The sequence below is a fragment of the Homo sapiens genome, chromosome 11 (genome assembly GCF_000001405.40).
Source record: "Homo sapiens chromosome 11, GRCh38.p14 Primary Assembly".
Taxonomy (NCBI): domain Eukaryota; kingdom Metazoa; phylum Chordata; class Mammalia; order Primates; family Hominidae; genus Homo; species Homo sapiens.
In genome coordinates this window covers 61,829,545-61,841,691 of record NC_000011.10, presented here as the reverse complement: position 1 = coordinate 61,841,691, position 12,147 = coordinate 61,829,545, and the positions used below count along the sequence as shown (strand labels likewise).

The 12,147-nt window shown below is 50.8% G+C and overlaps 1 protein-coding gene across 4 annotated transcripts in view, besides 9 other annotated features; it reads right to left on the bottom strand.

The window, feature by feature from the left end:
- FADS2 (fatty acid desaturase 2) overlaps positions 1–12,147 on the bottom strand; it is a 51,152-nt gene that overhangs the window by 25,663 nt on the left and 13,342 nt on the right. For all 4 annotated transcript variants that reach the window (XM_047427889.1, NM_001281501.1, NM_001281502.1 and 1 more), the window contains 3 exons: positions 3,804–3,914; positions 1,161–1,358; positions 967–1,068 (listed from right to left, as the gene is read on the bottom strand). In XM_047427889.1, the coding sequence (XP_047283845.1) occupies positions 967–1,068; positions 1,161–1,358; positions 3,804–3,914 (411 nt within the window). The remainder of the gene's footprint in view (positions 1–966; positions 1,069–1,160; positions 1,359–3,803; positions 3,915–12,147) is intronic.
- Positions 2,402–2,959: an enhancer, noted in NCBI's record as "H3K27ac-H3K4me1 hESC enhancer chr11:61606205-61606762 (GRCh37/hg19 assembly coordinates)". NCBI's record gives its function as "activates a minimal SCP1, AML or CMV promoter by ChIP-STARR-seq in primed H9 embryonic stem cells {active_cell/tissue: H9 hESC(primed)}" and the evidence as "EXISTENCE:reporter gene assay evidence [ECO:0000049][PMID:30033119]".
- Positions 5,714–6,581: an enhancer, noted in NCBI's record as "H3K27ac-H3K4me1 hESC enhancer chr11:61602583-61603450 (GRCh37/hg19 assembly coordinates)". NCBI's record gives its function as "activates a minimal SCP1, AML or CMV promoter by ChIP-STARR-seq in primed H9 embryonic stem cells {active_cell/tissue: H9 hESC(primed)}" and the evidence as "EXISTENCE:reporter gene assay evidence [ECO:0000049][PMID:30033119]".
- Positions 6,582–7,449: an enhancer, noted in NCBI's record as "H3K27ac-H3K4me1 hESC enhancer chr11:61601715-61602582 (GRCh37/hg19 assembly coordinates)". NCBI's record gives its function as "activates a minimal SCP1, AML or CMV promoter by ChIP-STARR-seq in naive H9 embryonic stem cells {active_cell/tissue: H9 hESC(naive)}" and the evidence as "EXISTENCE:reporter gene assay evidence [ECO:0000049][PMID:30033119]".
- Positions 6,647–6,706: a silencer, noted in NCBI's record as "silent region_3405". NCBI's record gives its function as "represses an Ori minimal core promoter by ATAC-STARR-seq in GM12878 lymphoblastoid cells {active_cell/tissue: GM12878}" and the evidence as "EXISTENCE:reporter gene assay evidence [ECO:0000049][PMID:35858748]".
- Positions 6,764–7,098: a transcriptional cis regulatory region, noted in NCBI's record as "TAD5.SE2.HS1 sgRNA1-sgRNA3 range targeted for Mosaic-seq CRISPR perturbation". NCBI's record gives its function as "positively regulates FADS1 gene expression in K562 erythroleukemia cells {active_cell/tissue: K562}" and the evidence as "EXISTENCE:mutant phenotype evidence [ECO:0000015][PMID:28416141]".
- Positions 6,841–7,135: an enhancer, noted in NCBI's record as "tiled region #6587; HepG2 Activating non-DNase unmatched - State 18:Pol2, and K562 Activating non-DNase unmatched - State 5:Enh". NCBI's record gives its function as "activates a minimal TATA promoter and a strong SV40 promoter by Sharpr-MPRA in HepG2 and K562 cells {active_cell/tissue: HepG2 | K562}" and the evidence as "EXISTENCE:reporter gene assay evidence [ECO:0000049][PMID:27701403]".
- Positions 6,887–7,246: an enhancer, noted in NCBI's record as "active region_4802". NCBI's record gives its function as "activates an Ori minimal core promoter by ATAC-STARR-seq in GM12878 lymphoblastoid cells {active_cell/tissue: GM12878}" and the evidence as "EXISTENCE:reporter gene assay evidence [ECO:0000049][PMID:35858748]".
- Positions 7,357–7,406: an enhancer, noted in NCBI's record as "active region_4801". NCBI's record gives its function as "activates an Ori minimal core promoter by ATAC-STARR-seq in GM12878 lymphoblastoid cells {active_cell/tissue: GM12878}" and the evidence as "EXISTENCE:reporter gene assay evidence [ECO:0000049][PMID:35858748]".
- Positions 7,450–8,317: an enhancer, noted in NCBI's record as "H3K27ac-H3K4me1 hESC enhancer chr11:61600847-61601714 (GRCh37/hg19 assembly coordinates)". NCBI's record gives its function as "activates a minimal SCP1, AML or CMV promoter by ChIP-STARR-seq in primed H9 embryonic stem cells {active_cell/tissue: H9 hESC(primed)}" and the evidence as "EXISTENCE:reporter gene assay evidence [ECO:0000049][PMID:30033119]".

The following is a 12,147-nucleotide window of genomic DNA, read 5'->3' as shown; positions in this document are numbered from 1 at the left end:
GATAAAAGCATAAATGCCAGATGAGGAAGGAGAGAATGGGGGCACCAAAAACACAGACTAAAGATAGTTGCTGTTTCAAATGCTGCTTTGTACCTCTTGGCTTCTGAGGGGAAGAGAGGAGCACAATGTGTTTCTTTTTCTTTTTTTTTTTTGAGAGATGGGGGGGGGTCTCACTATGTTGCCCAGGCTGGTCTCGAACTCCTGGGCTCAAGCAATTCTCCTGCCTCAGCCTCCCAGGTGGCTGGGATTACAGGTGCATGCCACCACACCCAGCACAACGTATTAAAGAGCTCACATCCCCAGTGAAAGGAAGCATACCAACTCATCAAAAAAGATGCTACAGGCCGGATGCGGTGGCTCACACCTGTAATCCCAGCACTTTGGGAGGCCAAGGCAGGTAGATCACAAGGTCAGAAGTTTGATACCGGCCTGACCAACATAGCAAAACCCCATCTCTACTAAAAATACAAAAATTAGTCAGGCATGGTGGCGAGTGCCTGTAATCCCAGCTACTCGGGAGGCTGAGGCAGGAGAATTGCTTGAACCCGGAGGTGGAGGTTGCAGTGACCCAAGATCACACCATTGCTTCCAGCTTGGGTGACAAGAGCAGGACTCTGTCTCAAAAAAAAAAAAAAATACTGCTACTTTACTGTCCCCAAACAAAAACAGATTTGTTAGATGAGTCCTTAGCTAAGGAACATCAAAAAATACAATCCGCTGAGCCAAAAGACAAGAAAGGTGTGTGCCTGTCTTCATAATGAGTAGTACACCATGGCTTTGTGGTTCGGACCTGATCCAGAGACAGGGCTCAGGAAGTCAGCAGAATGGAGAGTCACCATGGCCCTCAGCATAGGCACACCTGCCTTGTCACCCTGTAGCCTCAGAGCACTGAGCAGAGAGGAATCCTGGTCCCTCTGTCTCAACTGCTGTCCAACAGGACAGATGCCCAGGGCTGCTGACACTTACCTTTAAGTGGCCAATGACGAATTTGTGGACAAGGTGGTTCCACTTGGGTTTTCTGTAGACAGACAGGTGGCCATAATCATGTTGCAGCCATCCAGCTTGGGCCTGGGGAGAGAGGGTCACACGTGCTGTCACAGCCTCAGCAAACAGGCACCAGGCCTCTGTCAGCTAGGGGAAGTGAGGGTGTCACGCCTCACCTGAGAGGTAGCAAGGACAAAGGCCGTGATGAGGGTAGGAATCCAGCCATTGCCAAAGTAAAAGACAGTGAACCATGCAATGCTCTCCAGGGCGATGATGTGGGCCAGGAGGAGGAGGAAGAACACGTGGTTGGTCTTGAACAGGTTCATGTCCTCAGCCGTCTTCCTCAGGGCCCGGAAGTCCTCAGTGATCTTTGACTGTTGACCAAGAGCACAGGGAAAGGAGTCAGCCACCAGCCACTCTGGAGGGAACATATGTCTCGAGCTGCCATTTCAACAGCCAATGCACAACCCAGAGAAGCTGTGGCAAGAGGGGGCCAAGCCACAAGCCTCGACCCTCCAGGAGTCCCTACAATAGCTGCTGTTACCACATGCCCCACACAGCCCTGGGGCCTGTATATTTGTCACAGCTAGGTAAGAGTGACAGAGAAAGGCTTTGACTCAAAAGCTTGCATTTTATACACCCTGTGTTCATAGCTCTATTCACATCAGGAAAAAGGTAGAAACAACACAAAGATCTCGTGATGGATGAATGGATCAGCAACACGTGGTCTATCCATGCAATGGAATATTACTCAGCCTTGAAAAGGGAGGAAATTCTGACACATGCTACAATGTGAGTGAACTTTGAAGACATCATGCTAAGGGAAACAGGCCAGTCACCAAAGGACAAATATTGTATGATTCCATATACAGGAGGTCCTTGGAGAGGCCAAATTCAGAGACAGAAAGTAGAATGGTGCCTGCCAGGGGCTGAGAGGTGGGAGAATGAGGAGTGAGTGCTTAATGGATGTGGAATTTCAATTTGGGGAAGATGAGAACTGGATGGTGGTGATGGTTACATAACAATGTAAATGTGCTTATTTGATGCCACTGAACTGTACACGTCAAATGACCAAAATGGTTGACCACACTTTTTTAAAAAAGAAAACTTTAATCCCAGCACTTTGGGTGGCCGAGGCAGGCAGATCACCTGAGGTCAGGAGTTCGAGACCAGCCTGGCCAACATAGTGAAACTCCATCTCTACTAAAAATACAAAAATTAGCCAGGCATGATGATGGGCACCTGTAATCCCAGCTACATGGGAGGCTGAGGCAGGAGAACTGCTTGAACCTGGAGGCGGAGGTTGCAGTGAGCCGAGATGGTGTCACTGCACTCCAGCCTGGGTAACAAGAGCAAAACTCCATCTCAAAAAAAAAAAGAAAGAAAGAAAAGAAAAGAAAAATAAAACTTGCATTTTCCACCACCAAACAGAGCACCACTTGCTCTGCGCACACTGTTGGGTCTTGAGGGGTTGAGTTGGGGGCGACACAAACTAGCGCAGGAGGGCGAGCTGAGGCAGGCAGGAGGGGGCTGTGAGTCCCGGGCACATGGAGCCAGGGAGGCAAAGCGGAGTCAAGGAGGGCCCTGGGAACACAATGGCATTGCGAGGAAGAAGGAACTTGGGACAAGAGGCAGGGGCAGGGCCGGACGGGGAGGAGAGTGGATACAAGGAGAGGAGCGGTACCCACAGGGCATGACCAAGGTGCTATGAAGGGTGGTTCTGGTGGTGCCTGGTGGGAGCTTGGATGCTAAATGGTGCAGGATCTGCAGCAGAAAGGGAGAGCAGTGGAGAGAGCCAAGGAGCAAGGCCATGGACAAGGGAGCTACAGGGCAGGACGAGCAGAGCTGGGGAAGCCGCAGGCCAGGAGGTGCTGGAGGTGAGAGTGGGAGATGGACCCACTTGCGAAGGAGGCAGGAGGGGACAAGCATGGGCTGGCATGGGTACAGGGCAGGTGATCTCATGTGCCATGGAGGGCAAGGTGAGAGGAGGGGCATTGGCCTTTGAAGGACCTGCAGGGTGGCCCGCAGCTCATCAGGAAAGCCAGAGGCAATGGGGGTGGTGGGGGACTGGCCAAGAGTCCAGGCCGGGAGAGACCCTGGTCCTGCCCTGGCTCTGCTAAACAGAGGGGTCTGGCCCAGGCTGGCAACAAGAGGAGGAAGAGCTTGCTGAGGCCAGGGTGGGACTTCCATGACCACCCTGGTCACAGCCTGTGGGTACCACTCCTCTCCTTGTAACAACTCTCCTCCCCGTCCTGCCCTGCCCCTGCCTCCTGTCCCAACTTTCTTCTATAAACGGCTCCGCCATTTACATGGAGACTTCATTGTTGAACAAAACAACAGCCCATGAGACCTCAGGGGTTGCTATTTTCACACATGGCTGTCCTGGAAGCCCAGCACCCAGGGGGGCGTCTGACCTGCAGACAATGAACAGATGACCAGGGAATGGTCATTCTTTCTCAAAGAGGTGCCCCGGACCACACACCCCAAAGCCACTCTTGTCATCAAATGACATTTTTCGGTGTTTCTGTCCTGTCTTTCCCCTAGATTGTCATCTGGCACCTTCCTGGAAAGGGATGGAGGAGAAGGAAAATGAAACTGGCCAGGAGAGAGGAGACGCCACTAGTTGTTGTCAAACCCCGGCTCCCAGGGAGGCTCTGAGGCCCTCCCTGAACACAGGTGAACCACAGTGGCTCCTCCAGGACAAAAGCACCCCTGCCTCAGCCCCAGTTACTGGTCATGGGGCAAGGGGAGCCTCTCTCAGACTCCCAGCCACCCCCAGCCTCGTCTCCACCCCCACCCAGGTTGCAAGCCAGACTTACGTTCTTGCCGTGGTCCTGGCTGGGCTCCTCCGGGGCCAGTTCACCAATCAGCAGGGGTTTCAAGAACTTGCCCACGAATTCCAGGTCAGGGTGGAAGGCGCGGAAGGCATCCTGGAGAGCAGAGGGCAGTGATGAGGCTAAGACCTGAACTCTGTCTGCTCTTGGGCCCCAAGGAGGACAGTGCTCACCAGCAACAGCTCCATGTGTGCACCCAGACACCAAACGGGGTCTCCTGTGATCTGGCCCCAAATGCCGTCTCCAGCATTTTTCCAGGACAGAGCCCTCAGTGCCCAACGCCAATGGCAACAGCCACCTGGGCTTCTGTGCTGGTGCAGGCATGCTACACTCCCCAGGGGTTTGTGAATAGATGCATAGGCTGCCTTTGGGCAGGTCGGGAAATGGTGACCCTCCAGGAAGGCGCACCAGGCAGACACGGGGCTCAGGGAGGACTTGAGCCTCGACTGCTCGTGAGCTGAGTGCCTTGCATGGTGCACAAACCACACCACCCACCATCTCTTACTAGTTCCTCACCTACATGTCCAGGGTGGTCAATGAAAAGGACAAGACCGAATACTACCTTGGCACTGGAAATGTGCTGTGATGAAGTAAATAAAAAAATAAACACAGAATTATGTAAAAAGCGTTCCTGAAAAAAAGCCTAGGAGGATCTAGGCTATTATTGCACATGTTAAGGTAGCTGGATTATGCCTTGCTTTATTTTCATTACTTTCCAAACTCTAACACTGCTATAATGATACACATTTTAATCTTTTTTTCCCAATTATAAAGTAAAAACGTGCTGAGTTTTGGCCAAGTTAGAAAAGGCACAGCAGAATAAAGAGGAAAATAAATATCACCCAGAAAGTGGTCATTATTGCTAATATTTTAGCATTTTTCCTTCCAGCTTTTTTCTATACATATTATGCATATTACATGAATTATCTCATAAAAAATCTAGTATTTCTATTAGAGATGAGCCAGCACCAGGCTCCCCTGAGGGGATGCAATAGAATGTCCCAGTGGTGAACACTGTGTAATCTGCATCAAATCAAGCTTCCAGACATTGGTAGGATTGGCAAACCAGTCAAACTCCACCATGAGAAACAATCAGAAAAATCAATATAGCTGGGGAAAAACATACAAGTTTGTGGAAAAAACAAAAGTACGGAAGCATGGTCTAGATTAAAAGAGACTAAAATGATATAAAAACTGCAACTCTTGACTGGTCGCAGGGGCTCATGCCTGTAATCCCAGCACTTTGGGAGGCAGAGGCAGGAGGATCACTTGAGGCCAGGAGTTCAAGACCAGCCTGAGTAACATAGCAAGACCCCTGTCTCTACTAAGAATAAACAAAATTAGCCAGGCATGGTGGCCTGCACCAATAACTCCAGTTACTCGGGAGGCTGAGGCAGGAAGATACAATAAGCAATGATGGTGCCACTGCACTCCAGCCTGGGCAAGAGAGTGAGACCCTGTCTCAAAAAACAAACAGGCCGGGCACAGTGGCTCATGCCTGTAATCCCAGCACTTTGGGAAGCCGAGGCAGGGCGATCACCTGAAGTTAGGAGTTTGAGATCGGCCTGGGCAACATGGTGAAATCCCACCTCTACTGAAAATACAAAAATTAGCCAGGTGTAGCGGCGCACGCCTGTAATCCCAGCTGCTCAGGAGGCTGAGGCATGAGAATCCTTTGAAACCAGGAGGTGGAGGTTGCAGTGAGCCAAGATTGCACCACTGCACTCCAGCCTGGGCGACAGAGTGAGACTTTGACTCAAAAAACAAACAAACAAACAAACAAAACAACATCCTGCAATTCTTTAATGTGACAGGCTCTCACTTGAAGGAAAAAAGAAGTTATACCAGGTTTTTCGGGAGTTGAATGAGAAAAAATGAATATGGACCAGATATTTGATCATATCAAGGAATTACTATTAATTTTCTTAAATGTGACAAAGGTACTGTGATGATGTTAGAGCATCTCTTCCTTTTTTCTCCGGAAATGTTGAAGACCTTAGGGATGTGATCACACAATGACGCAGCTTATTTTCAAAAGGCAACTGCACACATATAAAGAGGAAAAACGCAAATGTGGCAAAATGTTAAGACTAGTGAATCTTGGTTGAGGATACACAGGTGTTTGCTTGTTCCTTCAACATTTAAGGATGTTGGGAAAATTTCAAAATTAAAAAGAAGAGGGGGCCGGGTGCGGTAATCCCAGCACTTTGGGAGGCCGAGGCGGCGGATTGCCTGAGGCCAGAAGTTTGAGATCAGACTGGCCAACATGGTGAAACCCCGTCTCTACTAAAAATACAAAAAAAAAAAAAAAAATTAGCCAGGTGTGGTGGCACACGCCCGTAATCCCAGCTACTTGGGAGGTTGAGGCAGGGAATTGCTTTAGCCAGGGAGGTGGAAGGTTGCAGTGAGCTGAGATCGTGCCACTGCATTCCAGCCTGGCGACAGAGCGAGACTCCATCTCAAAAAAAAAAAAAAAGGGTCGGGGGAAGGTGGAGAAAGTGCTAACCACTCCTGGAAATCTTTTCAGCCCCACACGTAAGGATCTCCCAAGGGTAACTGCCAGTCTCCCATCATCTCCTTACTGCATTGCTGGCATCAAGTCCTTTGCTTGGTCTTTGTTCTATTTGTGTCTAGAACAGACTGACAAAGCAACACTTCGTGCAGGAGAAAACTGGGCCCACGGTTTCTTAAAAAATGCCTGTGACCCACTAGCCGAGCCGAAAAGGGATGGTAGCAGAGGATCAGGTCAAGAGTATTTTCAGGGAAAAGAGACGTGCTATTCCAGGGCCCTGGGGAGGCAGGGAGAAGTCCCTGGGGAGGCAGGGAGAAGTCCCTGGGGAGGCAGGGAGGAGGCCCTGGGGGCAGGCAGGGAGGAGGGCTGGGGTGGGGGGGCAGGCAGGGAGGAGGCCCAGGGTGCGGGCAGGGAGGAGCCCAGGGTTGCAGTGGTGACCAGCTTTGCTGGCTCTGGGTGGGGTGATCAGTCCCCACCAGAGCCTCAGCCGCCTATGCAAAATGAGCAAGGCCCTGGGAGAGGCCCGGAGGAGCTGCCAAAGTCAGGGCCCAGGGCTGGGCCTGAAAAAGCCCCTTCATTGGTCCTCCTCACATCACACCACGGCCTTTGAGAAATGAACAGGAAGTCCCTGGTAAGGCAGTTTCCTGAGAAGCAGCTGCAGTGGCTGATAACTAATGGATTCCTCTTGTCTCATTGAAAGGCAAGACTCAATGGCTTGCAAATAGACTCATCTCCACTCCTGCTGCCTCCCCAACACCCGAACCCTGCAGTCGAGGTTCCAACTCCAAGGGAGCAGACAGATGACGAGCCCTGCCTTGACCTTGGTTGCTGCTCAGCCATTTCCAGAGGGCTCTCGGGCAGCCTCACCTCCCTGAGCCCAGGGGTAATGGGCATGCGCCAGGCAGGGAGCCAGGAGTGTTGCTCATGTTACTCCCTTAGGCCTCAAGCCCCAACTTCTGAGGTGAAGATGCAGGAGCTCAGGAAGCAAAGTCCTGGGCTCCAGGTGGCAGAGCCAGGATCAAATCCAGGTCCATCTGCCTCTAAGGACTCTTTTCTCACGTGCCACACGCTTCCTGCCGTTTTAGAAAACCGAGCAGTCTGTTGGATCAGCTCCTTGCCCATGGTCAGTGTGGCAGCTTTCCGAGCAGGCCTGGTGCGGACCGCCCTTGAACATACCACGCTCCTTTCCACACCAGGGCTGCCTCCATTCGGGACTCAGCCTCAACATCACCTCCAAGAGGCTTTTCCCAACATCACATCCAAAAGAGCTCTCCCAGCCCTGGGCCTTCCCTGGGTCATTGCCCTGTTAGATCTTCATAGCAGTCATCAAGGTTCGTCATCAGACTGCGTGACGTACCCACTTGTTTATGGCCTGCGTCCCCCGCTGGAGCATAAACCCCAGTTGGGAAGGCCTGCACCTGTCTTGTTCGCTGCAATAAACACAGTGCCTGTAACGGGGCCTAATAAGATGGCTCACGAGGGAATAAATGGACCCAGGACCCCACAGCTGCACACACTCTGATCTCATACTTTCCCACTGTGCAGTCATGACCAGACACTTGTCCTCTTCCGCGTTTCACACAACTTGGCTTCTGCCTCTGGAACACCAAAAGCCTTCTCCGGCATCCCCACGCTGGTGGTTGCTACAGCTGCCACCTGCTGAGGTGACGCAGGCGAGCCACGGGGCCATGGGAGTGGCTTGCATACATCAGCCAGGCATCTTTACCAAACTTCGTGAGGCAGGTCCTTTTTTAGAGATAAGAAATCAGGCGTAGGTTGGCAGAGCCACCTGCCCACTATCACACTCGGGAATGAGCTGAGTAGAGTTTGAGTCACATGTGGCTACCTTGAGCATTGCCCGCTGTTCATACAAAGGCTTCCCTCAACATGAGTGTCCTCCTCCCTGAGAGTTGATTATATTTTGTGTCTCTCCCTTCACATTGCCATAAATGTGTCTCAAACGCTGGCAGAAGGTTTCCAGCACCTGCCGGGTTACAGAAATATCTGGCAGGTATAAGGCAGACCAGGATTCAAGGCAAGGGAGGGCCAACCCAAACTTTGTCTTTGGACCAAGAATTGGAACCAGGCTCTATCCTAGTGTAACGGGAGAGAAGCCAGAGACTTTCCAGGAAGAGGACCCGGGACATGGGGAAGAGAAAGGATTGGTAAACAGGTGGAGAAAGCAGAGATGCACCCGCCTCGGCAGGGCAGGTGTGTGAGGTGGGGAGGTCAGAACACCCTGATTCTGAAGCGCTTGTCACACTTCGCTCTTTGCCAGTTCCTGCTTCTGCCATCACCCAGGTCTGATGCCAGTCAACTTCTCCACAGGGACATTTTCCCTGCCCCTGCCCCACTCTGGGTACAACTCACAGTTGCTCGCCATCCACTGAGCACCTGGTGCCAGGATTTGTTTATGGCCGTGCCCATGTCCTCTGGGGAGCAAGGCTAATCTCTGATCGAATGCTGCACAACTGGGCACTTTGCCTAGGATTTGGGAAGTGCAGCACGGGCAAGCACAGGGCACACAGTGCAGTAGGTGGCAGCCCTGCGGACCAGAACTTTATGGAACAAGTGATCTAAGAGTGTGGAGATGCACAGGAGGGATCCTCGCATTCTCCAGTGGAAATGAAGAGCAAGACAGGGATGCTGACTTCCTTTCTGCAGCAGAGAGAGGCAGGCAGGGCAGGAAGCCCCTATGCCATGTCCCCTCCAAGGAAAGAAGCAATGGAGGCTGGTGGGGCAGTGCTCTGTGGCCAAAGAGCCCCGCAGTGAGAGCCTCCCCCATAACACAGGGTCCATGCACTACCCTGAGGGCAGAAAGGCAGGGCTGCACAGGAGACAGGCCCCTACAAAGGCAACCTGGGCATGAAGAAATTGATGCCATTCTCCACTTTCATCTCAGAACTGCTTCCTGGGGATGCTGAGGCTACAGCCACAGAAATTGGACAGCTCCCACCCAGATCTCAGCTGGGGAGATGGAGCTGCCCTCCAGGCCTGGGAATTCATAAAGCTGGGGCTGGAACCCAGGTCTCCTGCCTCTAAATACTACAACCCTCCTGCCCCGTGCAAAGGAGGCCAGAGTTCCACTTTCGATCTGTTGCGTTTTCACAAGAATAACATAGGAGCAGGTTGAAAGGTGGAACAAACCTCTGGTCTCTTCTCACCTTCCCTTGATTCTAAGAGGTCACCAATGCAGACCGGGCAGGAACAGTTGCTGAGACAAGGGCTAGGGGTAGGGGGCTGATGTCTAGAGGCAGAGGGTCCAGATCCAAGCCCCAGCTTGAGAGAGAGCAGGGGGAGCACATCCCACAGCTTCAGGTCTCTGTCTGTGAATAATTCATCTCTGTGTCTGGGCCCAGCTCAGAGCCATGGAGACACTCAATTAATGTTTGATGAATTGTCGCTGAAGATGAACAGTTCTGCAGTGGTGGGACTGCTGTGAAAAGAGCAGACACGCTCTTAGGGCGCGGGTGAGGGTTCCTTTTGCCCACAGCAAGGAAAAGGCGAGAGAAGCACCGCAGTACCAAAGGGAAGAGATCAGAGGTAGCAACAGGAAGGGAAGGAAGCTGGGAGGGGAGGACTTGAGGTCAGATTCTGAGTTTAAGTCTGAGCACTGCCACTTAAGCCAGGTTTGATACCTCAGAGCAGTGAGAGATGCCTACGGGGCTGATCCGAGTATGAAATGAAGTGATACATATGAATGTGTTTTGTAAGTTGCAAAAATCAAGCAACTTGCATTATTATAGGCAAGGTCAGGGTTTAGCTTCTGTGGAAGGACCACGTAACAGTTGCCCCATCCTTCTAGGGAGATGGATCTTGACTACCTGGATCTTTTGCTCTTCAAAAAAAAGAAAATGCCCTATTGAGGCCCCTGATTGTCCCGAGAATGGCTTCCCTGACTTCGAGGATTGTCCCAAGAATGGCTACCTTGACTTCCGACCTGTTTCCAGCCTTGTGTTAGGAATGACTGCACTGTGATGGGCTCAGAACATTGCCTGGGAATGTTGCAGGGAATCCAAACTGTCTTCTGATCAGTCCCTCCCCAGACTGTGCCTGGTCCATAAATTGTCACTCCCCATGCTCTGGGGGACAAACCATCACCCCAAGGGGCAAAGCCACTTGCTCAACAGCCTAGGCAAGGGTCTCTGGATTTCAGTAGCCTGTTCCTGCTTCTCTCTTTAGGTCCCCTTTCCACATGCCCCACCCACCCCACGCTGCTCAAGGCCTTTTTCCAACCTGGTCCTGGACAGTTTAAAAAAACAAAACAAAACAAAGAGAACCCAGCTGCTCACTCCATCATCACCATCATTCAAATCTGTATCCCCAGTTCGTGTATTTCATGCCCCAAAAGTCTTATTTTAGAAGACAGGAAGCTCTGGGGACAGGGATTGCTTTTACGTGTTGCTACACCAAATAAAGCTAGCATAGATTTAAATTTTTTCTTCAAATTCCTCTTTGCATACTTTCCATTCTAGCTGTTTCATAATACTTGTTCTTATTCCCGTTTGCCTGATAACACCCCATTGCATTCATCTAGTGGTTACAGTTGCTGGGTGCTTTGCCACAAATCAGTCTCATTGAAACAGGTACAGGTGTACCTTATAGATGAGGAGATGGGGCTCAGTCAAGTGACAACACTTAGTGGATGAGCCCAGTAATGACATCTTTCTTCAATTCTAGATCTGTTTGCAGCCCCGGTTGGCTCCCACCCTAGCTTATGAAAGTAACAAAGCAACCAACATCCAAGATACCAGATTTATAGTCCATGAAAGTTATACAGAAAGCGCTGGAGCAGGACCAGAAATGACGAGACTATTACATTTTTATGAGACAGAGAAAAGGTCAGGGAAGAGTAGGTCATTCTAGTCCTCTGTTAGGAGAGATGTGAGCACTGATTTTTGGAGGGAACTCAGTGTTAAGGTCAGGTAAGCACTGAGAACATCCAGAACAAGGAAGAAATAAATCAATCTGATATGGTAATTAAACCAGAAAGGTCAAGGCAATTGCCAGACTAAGCGTTCACATAAGAAAATATGTTTAACAATGTGGAATAATCAGACCAAATTCATCGTATTTGACTTTTCCTTCTGGAAACTTTTTGGTGAGGGCCTGGACAGGACAGGAACCTTCTACAATTTACCTATGAAATCAGAAACAGACCAGCCCAAGTCCAGCAACATATAGTGGAAAGATCCCAGCCAGGATCCAGAAGGTCCTTTACTTAGGAGTTACATTAACCCAACCTCCTCACTGGGCCGCGTAAAGGTCCAGGTGAGATAGCACTGAAGGTATGTGAAACATACCCACCTAAGTTCTAAATAGCATCACAAACCCACTGGGCTTAAGCAATGTCCACAAGCAAGTAAAACAGGATGGGACTGAAAGCTGTAGGGAATTTCAGTATCGCTGACCTTCCCAATCTTAGATAAGCCCTGGCCCTGCTGGCCCACACCACCTGTCCATTGTCCAGCTTGGGTTATGGTGGCCTGGTCTGGCCTTCCCCTAGGCCTGTCTCCATGAGATGCAAGAGGTGGGGAAGTTAAGGGTCGGGCCTACACAGCTTAGAGAGCAAAAGCCCACCAACAGTTGGGCATCCTAGACCTCCAGGTGGAATGATCTACGTCAAGTTCATCCCTCCTTTCTGCCTCTCTCCTATTCACTTTCCCCAATTTCTGTATCCCATCAGACCTTTTTTCTCTGCATCCAATTCACTACCACCACCAAAAGCCGCCCTTTCTTCCCTCCTTGCCTCTGTTCTTTTCCTTCTGGCCCATTCGAATCCATGGGATACCAGCTGCATCCTTAAATAAATGCCAG